We start from the raw sequence: 8,871 nt of genomic DNA on the forward strand, positions 1-8,871 counted from the left end.
TGATTTTATTATCAGAATAATATCAGCTTCATAAAATGAATAGGAAATTATTCCCTAGTCTTCTACTGTCTAGAAGAGATTGTGTACAACTGGGATTAATTCTTTTTTAAATATTTGGTAAAATTCTTCAGTGAAACCATCTGAAATTGGAGGGCATTTTATGGGGCGGTTTTTCAATTACAAATGCATCTTCCTTAAAGATTATAGAGCCATTTTAATTATTTCATATTGGGTAAGTTATAGTAGTTTGTGTTTTTCAAAGAATTGGTCCATTTCTTTTAAGTTGTCAAATTTACGTGTGTGGAGTTGTTTGCAGTATTCTCTTATTGCACTTTTGATATCTACAAGGTCTATATTGATATCCTCTGCTTCATTTTTTTTTTGTAAAAAATGAAGTAATTTTTGACGTCTCCCTTTTTGTTTGTCTCTGTCTTGCTATAAGTTTGCCAGTGATCATTTCCATCAACCAGCTCATTGTTCTATTAATTACTTCTGTTGTTTTTCTGTGTCAAAATAATTGATTTCTGCACTTATCTTCATTATTTCCCTCTTTCTCTTTGCCTTCAGTCTATTTTGCTTATCTAGGTTCTTGTAGTGGGAGTTTTGATTATTGATTTGAACTATTTCTCTCTCCTTTGATTTGAACTATTTCTGTCTCCTTTTTTAATGCTTCTTTTCTTAGATTATTGATTTGACATTTTTCCTCTTTTCTAGCATTTAGTGCTAGAAATTCCCCTTTTCTACACTGCTTTAGCTTCTCTGTATGATTTCAATTCTTTACATTTGTTGGGGCTTGTTTTATGGCCCAGGATATTATCCATTTTGGCATATCTTCCATATCCTCGGCCTTTGTTGATGCCAGGGGCACTTAAAAAAGATGTGTATGCTACCATTGTTTGGCTGAGGGCCTTACAAATATCCATAGGGATTTTTTGACAGATGGTATTGAGTTTTTTTAATATATCCTTACTGTTTTCTCTGTAGTTTTTAATCAGTTGTTGAGAGTAGGGTATGGAGGTCTCCAGTTATAATCTGGGATTTCTCTATTTCTCCTTCTAGTTCTATCAATCTTTCCTTCACATATTTTTTAGCTCTGTTGCCTGGTGCATATACCTTAGTGGACTAAGACTTTTATCACCATGTAATGTCTCTATCTCTGGTGATATTCTTGGATCTGAGGTCTACTTATCTGATATTAACATAGCCATTCCTGCTTTCTTTAATTAATGTTTGCATAATACATCTTTTTCTATCTTCTTACTTTCCACCTGCATACATCTTATTTGAAGTAAGTTTTACTTGAAGTAAGTTTGTTTTTTAATCTATTTTGTCTTTTAATGTATATATTTAAACCATATACATTTAAATAATTATTGACATGTTAAGACTTATGTCTGTCATTTTAATTTTTGTTTTCTCTCTGCTTTTTATTCCTCTGTTTTCTTTTTCCTGCCTTCCTATGGGTTACCTGAACATTTTTTAGATCCCATTTTTGTTCATATATAGTGTTTTTGAGGATATCTCTATGTTTAGCTTTTTATGTTGTTGCTCTAGATAGAGACCTTTACATTCCATTACTGTCCTCATTTATAATGTAGTTGTATTAAATATTTCCTCTAATGCATTTAGAACCAAATCTGACAATGTTATGATTTTTACTTCAACTATCAAAAATAGCTTAGAAAATCGAAGAGAAGAAAAGCCTATTGTATTTACCCATATTTTTGCTAATCATGTTCTTTCTTCCTCCTTGTTCCAAGTTTCCTTCTTTTAACTTTGTGTGTGTGTGTGTGTCTGTGTGTGTGTGTGTGTGTGTGTGTGTGTGTTTAGAGAACTTCCTTTAGCCATTCTTTTAAATGAGATCTGCTGGAAACAAATTCTTAGTTTTCCTTTATCTAAGATTGTTCTACAGGTCCCTGAGAGATGCTTTCAGATCTTTTCAGTCTATTTTCTCTCTGTTGTTCAGATTGGATAATTTCTATTGTTATTTTTTCACAACACATTGATTATGTTCTCTTCCCTCCATTCTGCTGTTGTGTCCACACACCAATCTTTTTATTTTGATTATCATATTTTTTTAGTTCTAAAATTTCTACCTGGGGCCAGGCCTGGTTGCTTACGCCTGTAATCATAGCACTTTGGGAGGCTGAGGTGGGCAGATTGCTTGAGCTCAGGAGTTTCAGACCAGCCTGGGCAACATGGTGAAACCCCATCTCTACAAAAAAAAATACAAAAATCAGCCTGGCATGATGGCTTGTGCCTGCAGTCTCAGCTACTTGAGGGGTGAGTTGGAAAAGATGGTGTGAACCTGGGAGGTTGAGGCTGCAGTGAGCTGAGATCACGCCACTGTACTCCAGCCTGGGTGACACAGTGATACCCTGGCTCAAAAAATAAAATTTCCACTCAGTTCTGTTTTATATCTCCTATTTCTTCATTGAGACTTCATTGAGATTTTTTTCATTCAGACATTCTCTTTTTCCTTTGTTTCAAGCAGATTTGTAATTTTTTTATTCAGCATATTTAGCATGGCTGTTTTAAAATCTTCAATAATTCTAATGTCTCTGTCATCTTGGTGCTGGTATCTGTTGATTGTCTTCTTTCAGTCAGACTTAGATCTTACTGGTTCTTAGTATTATAGATGTTTTCAGTTGAAATCTAGACATTTTTGTTTTATATTACGAGATTTTATTTAAACCTCTGTTTTAGCTGAATTTTTCTTTTTTTTTTATTTGCAACTAAAGACACTACATTTTATTTCATCATCAGTGAAACTTATTTCATTGATTATGTCATAATTCTATTATAATCAATACCATTATATCATAATCAATGTTTTACTCTACAAGGAATTTATACGGAAAAGTGATAGGAAGTTCTGTTTATATTTTTGTAATAATTATTTTGCATTGCAATAAAATCAATATCTTAAAAATTCATATAAATTACTTTTTGAACAGTCCTTGTAGAGTATATTTATGTTTAGAATCAGTATGCTGCTATACAACAGTATTCCACTTAGAGTTTTTTAAATGTGAGAATTGGTGTTGTCTATTTTGAGACTATAAATTAAATGACCATTGCTGACTTAGAAGTATTTCTCTCTTTATAGAAAAAAAATCTCTTCAATCATCAAAATATCCCTGATGCTTTTATGATTAATTAATTTGGTAGAGGAGGATAGCAAAGAAACATTAAGCTTAGTGGTCAATGAAGATTAGTGAGAAATTGATACAACACGGAAGAAACATTGACAACAATGGAAGAAAACAGACTTAATTGAACAACTTTATTCGATGCACAACTTTTCAGGAACACATCTGTTCTATAAAGAGGAATACACTTGTTGCACAGGTGTTTATGAATGTTATTTTAAATAAACTCTCAATGACATCACTTTGATTAAAATGTAACCTCCTGACTAAATACCTCACAGCAGCATGGTTTCCAATGACAGTCAAGGGTATTTAAATGCCTCCACTTATACTCCACCTTGTCATAAGATGTCTGATATGGTTTGGCTCTGTGTCCCCACCCAAATCTCATCTTGTAGCCTCCCACATATTGTGGTAGGGACCCGGTGGGAGATGATTGAATCATGGGGGTGGGTCTATCCCATGCTGTTCTCCTGATAGTGAAACAGTCTCACAAGGGCTATTGGTTTTAAAAATGAGAATTTCTCTGCACAAGCTCTTTTTCCCTGCCACCATCCACATAAGATGTGACTTGCTCCTCCTTGCCTTCCACCATGATCGTGAGGCTTCCACAGCCACGTGAAACTATAAGTTCAATTAAACCTCTTTCTTTTGTAAATTGCCCAGTATCAGGTATGTTTTTATCAGCAGCATGAAAATGTACTAATATAATGGCCCTTTCTTGGTTTTGCTTGTCCTTTAATATTGAATTACCTTATCTTCCTTCCTCTCATGCTCTACCCAAGGTGAATCAGTTCATGCGTCCCATCTGTCTTCAGAGGGGGCTTTTTGACTTTTGCAATTTATTTACCTGGTTACCCTGTAACCTAACCTCTCTGATGGGTTCCAGAAAAGTTAGAATTTTGTAGCTTATCCAGCTTTTTCTTTTTTTTTTTTTTTTAATTGTACTTGAAGTTTTAGGGTACATGTGCACAATGTGCAGGTTTGTTACATATGTATACATGTGCCATGCTGGGGTGCTGCACCCATTAACTCGTCATCTACATTAGGTATATCTCCTAATGCTATCCCTCCCCCCTCCCCCCACCCCACAACAGGCCCCGGGTTTTGATGTTCCCCTTCCTGTGTCCAAGCGTTCTCCTTGTTCAATTCCCACCTATGAGTGAGAATATGCGGTGTTTGGTTTTTTGTCCTTGCGATAGTTTGCTGAGAATGATGGTTTCCAGCTTCATCCATGTCCCTACAAAGGACATGAACTCATCCTTCTTTATGGCTGCATAGTATTCCATGGTGCATATGTGCCACATTTTCTTAATCCAGTCTATCATTGTCGGACATTTGGGTTGGTTCCAAGTCTTTGCTATTGTGAATAGTGCCACAATAAACATACGTGTGCATGTGCCTTTATAGAAGGATGATTTATAATCCTTTGGGTATATACCCAGTAATGGGATGGCTGGGTCAAATGATATTTCTAGTTCTAGATCCCTGAGGAATCACCACCCTGACTTCCACAATGGTTGAACTAGTTTACAGTCCCACCAACAGTGTAAAAGTGTTCTTATTTCTCCACATCCTCTCCAGCACCTGTTGTTTCCTGACTTTTTAATGATTGCCATTCTAACTGGTGTGAGATGGTATCTCATTGTGGTTTAGATTTGCATTTTTCTGATGGCCAGTGATGATGAGCATTTTTTCATGTGTCTTTTGGCTGCATAAATGTCTTCTTTTGAGGAGTGTCTATTCATATCCTTTGCCCACTTTTTGATGGGGTTGTTTTTTTCTTATAAATTTGTTTGAGTTCATTGTAGATTCTGGATATTAGCCCTTTGTCAGATGAGTAGATTGCAAAAGTTTTCTCCCATTCTGTAGGTTGCCTGTTCACTCTGAGGGAAATTTCTTTTGCTGTGCAGAAGCTCTTTAGTTTAATTAGATCCCATTTGTCAATTTTGGCTTTTGTTGCCATTGCTTTTGGTGTTTTAGACATGAAGTCCTTGCCCATGCCTATGTCCTGAATGTTATTGCCTAGGTTTTCTTCTAGGGTTTTTACGGTTTTAGGTCTAACATGTAGGTCTTTAATCCATCTTGAATTAATTTTTGTCTAAGGTGTAAGGAAGGGGTCCAGTTTCAGCTTTCTACATATGGCTAGCCAGTTTTCCCAGCACCATTTATTAAATAGGGAATCCCTTCCCCATTTCTTGTTTTTGTCAGGCTTGTCAAAGATCAGATAGTTGTAGATGTGTGGTATTATTTCTGAGGGCTCTGTTCCATTTCACTGGTCTATATCTCTGTTTTGGTACCAGTACCATGCTGTTTTGGTTACTATAGCCTTGTAGTATAGTTTGAAGTCGGGTAGCTTGATGCCTCCAGCTTTGTTCTTTTGGCTTAGGATTGACTTGGCAATGCAGGCTCTTTTTAGTTTCCATATAAACTTTAAAGTAGTTTTTTCCAATTCTGTGAAGAAAGTCATTGGTAGCTTGATGGGGATGGCATTGAATCTCTAAATTACCTTGGGCAGTATGGCCATTTTCACGATATTGATTCTTCCTATCCATGAGCATGGAATGTTCTTCCATTTGTTTGTATCCTTTTATTTCATTGAGCAGTGGTTTGTAGTTCTCCTTGAAGAGGTCCTTCACATCCCTTGTAAGTTGGATTCCTAGGTATTTTCTTCTCTTTGAGGCAATTGTGAATGGGAGTTCACTCATGATTTGTCTCTCTGTTTGTCTGTTTTTGGTGTATAAGAATGCTTGTGATTTTTGTACATTGATTTTGTATCCTGAGACTTTGCTGAAGTCGCTCATCAGCTTAAGGAGATTTTGGGCTGAGACGATGGGGTTTTCTAGATATACAATCATGTCATCTGCAAACAGGGACAATTTGATTTCCTCTTTTCCTAATTGACTACCCTTTATTTCCTTCTCCTGCCTGATTGCCCCGGCCAGAACTTCCAACACTATGTTGAATAGGAGTGGTGAGAGAGGGCATCCCTGTCTTGTGCCAGTTTTCAAAGGGAATGCTTCCAGTTTTTGCCCATTCAGTATGATATTGGCTGTGGGTTTGTCATAAATAGCTCTTATTATTTTGAGATACGTCCCATCAATACCTAATTTATTGAGAGTTTTTAGCATGAAGGGCTGTTGAATTTTGTCAAAGGCCTTTTCTGCATCTATTGAGATAATCATGTGGTTTTTGTCATTGGTTTTGTTTATATGCTGGATTACATTTATTGATTTGCATATGTTGAACCAGCCTTGCATCCCAGGGATGAAGCCCACTTGATCATGGTGGATAAGCTTTTTGATGTGCTGCTGGATTTGGTTTGCCAGTATTTTATTGAGGATTTTTGCATCGATGTTCATCAGGGATATTGGTCTAAAATTCTCTTTTTTTGTTGTGTCTCTGCCAGACTTTGGTATCAGGATGATGCTGGCCTCATAAAATGAGTTAGGGAGGATTCCCTTTTTTTCTATTGATTGGAATACTTTCAGAAGGAATGGTACCAGCTCCTCCTTGTACCTCTGGTAGAATTCGGCTGTGAATCCATCTGGTCCTGGACTTTTTTTGGTTGGTAAGCTATTAATTATTGCCTCAATTTCAGAGCCTGTTATTGGTCTATTCAGAGATTCAGCTTCTTCCTGGTTTAGTCTTGGGAGGGTGTATGTGTCCAGGAATTTATCCATTTCTTCTAGATTTTCTAATTTATTTGCATAGAGGTGTTTATAGTATTCTCTGATGGTAGTTCATATTTCTGTGGGATCGGTGGTGATATCCCCTTTGTCATTTTTTATTGTGTCTATTTGATTCTTCTCTCTTTTCTTCTTTATTAGTCTTGCTAGCAGTCTATCAATTTTGTTGATCTTTTCAAAAAACCAGATCCTGGATTCATTGATTTTTTGAAGGGTTTTTTGTGTCTCCATTTCCTTCAGTTATGCTCTATTTCCTTCAGTTCTGCTCTGATCTTAGTTATTTCTTGCCTTCTGCTAGCTTTTGAATGTGTAGATGCTCTTGCTTCTCTAGTTCTTTTAATTGTAATGTTAGGGTGTCAATTTTAGATTTTTCCTGCTTTCTCTTGTGGGCATTTAGTGCTATAAATTTCCCTCTGCACACTGCTTTAAATGTGTCCCAGAGATTCTGGTATTTTGTGTCTTTGTTCTCATTGGTTTCAAAGAACATCTTTATTTCTGCCTTCATTTCGTTATGTACCCAGTAGTCATTCAGGAGCAGGTTGTTCAGTTTCCATGTAGTTGAGCGGTTTTGAGTGAGTTTCTTAATCCTGAGTTCTAGTTTGATTGCACTGTGGTCTGAGAGACAGTTTGTTATAATTTCTGTTCTTTTACATTTGCTGAGGAGAGCTTTACTTCCAACTATGTGGTCAATTTTGGAATAAGTGCGGTGTGGTGCTGAGAAGAATGTATATTCTGTTGATTTGGGGTGGAGAGTTCTGTAGATGTCTATTAGGTCTGCTTGGTGCAGAGCTGAGTTCAATTCCTGGATATCCTTGTTAACTTTCTGTCTCGTGGATCTGTCTGATGTTGACAGTGGGGTGTTAAAGTCTCCCCTTATTATTGGGTGGGAGTGTAAGTCTCTTTGTAGGTCTCTAAGGACTTGCTTTATGAATATGGGTGTTCCTGTATTGGGTGCATATATATTTAGGATCGTTAGCTCTTCTTGTTGAATTGATCCCTTTACCATTATGTAATGGCCTTCTTTGTCTCTTTTGATCTTTGTTGGTTTAAAGTCTGTTTTAACAGAGACTAGGATTGCAACCCCTGCCTTTTTTTGTTTTTCATTTGCTTGGTAGATCTTCCTCCATCCCTTTATTTTGAGCCTATGTGTGTCACAGCACATGAGATGGCTTTCCTGAATACAGCACACTGATGGGTCTTGACTCTTTATCCAATTTGCCAGTCTGTGTCTTTTAATTGGAGCATTTAGCCCATTTACATTTAAGGTTAATATTGTTATGTGTGAATTTGATCCTGTCATTACGATGTTAGCTGGTTATTTTGCTCGTTAGTTGATGCAGTTTCTTCCTAGCCTCAATGGTCTTTACAATTTGGCATGTTTTTGCAGTGGCTGGTACCGGTTGTTCCTTTCCATGTTTAGTGCTTCCTTCAGGAGCTCTTTTAGGGCAGGCCTGGTGGTGACAAAATCAGCATTTGCTTGTCTGTAAAGGATTTTATTTCTTCCTCATTTATGAAGCTTAGTTTGGCTGGATATGAAATTCTAGGTTGAAAATTCTTTTCTTTAAGAATGTTGAATATTGGCCCCCACTCTCTTCTGGCTTGTAGAGTTTCTGCTTTGAGATCAGCTGTTAGTCTGATGGGCTTCCCTTTGTGGGTAACCCGACCTTTCTCTTTGGCTGCCCTTAACATTTTTTCCCTCGTTTCAACTTTGGTGAGTCTGATAATTATTTGTCTTGGAGTTGCTCTGCTCGAGGAGTATCTTTGTGGCATTCTCTGTATTTCCTGAATTTGAATGTTGGCCTGCCTTTCTAGATTGGGGAAGTTCTTCTGGAAAATATCCTTCAGAGTGTTTTCCAACTGGGTTCCATTCTCCCCATCACTTTCAGATACACCAATCAGACGTAGATTTGGTCTTTTCACATAGTCCCATATTTCTTGGATGCTTTATTCGTTCCTTTTTATTCTTTTTTCTCTAAACTTCTCTTCTCACTTCATTTCATTCATTTGATCTTCCATCACTGATACCCTTT

General features: G+C 36.8%; 1 annotated feature.

Annotated features, from left to right (window-relative positions):
• Positions 2,235-2,453: a silencer, noted in NCBI's record as "fragment chr3:70838694-70838912 (GRCh37/hg19 assembly coordinates)". NCBI's record gives its function as "represses an EF-1alpha promoter that drives an FKBP-Casp9 reporter gene in an ReSE screen in K562 erythroleukemia cells {active_cell/tissue: K562}" and the evidence as "EXISTENCE:reporter gene assay evidence [ECO:0000049][PMID:32094911]".

This window comes from Homo sapiens, chromosome 3 (assembly GCF_000001405.40).
Source record: "Homo sapiens chromosome 3, GRCh38.p14 Primary Assembly".
Taxonomy (NCBI): Eukaryota; Metazoa; Chordata; class Mammalia; order Primates; family Hominidae; genus Homo; species Homo sapiens.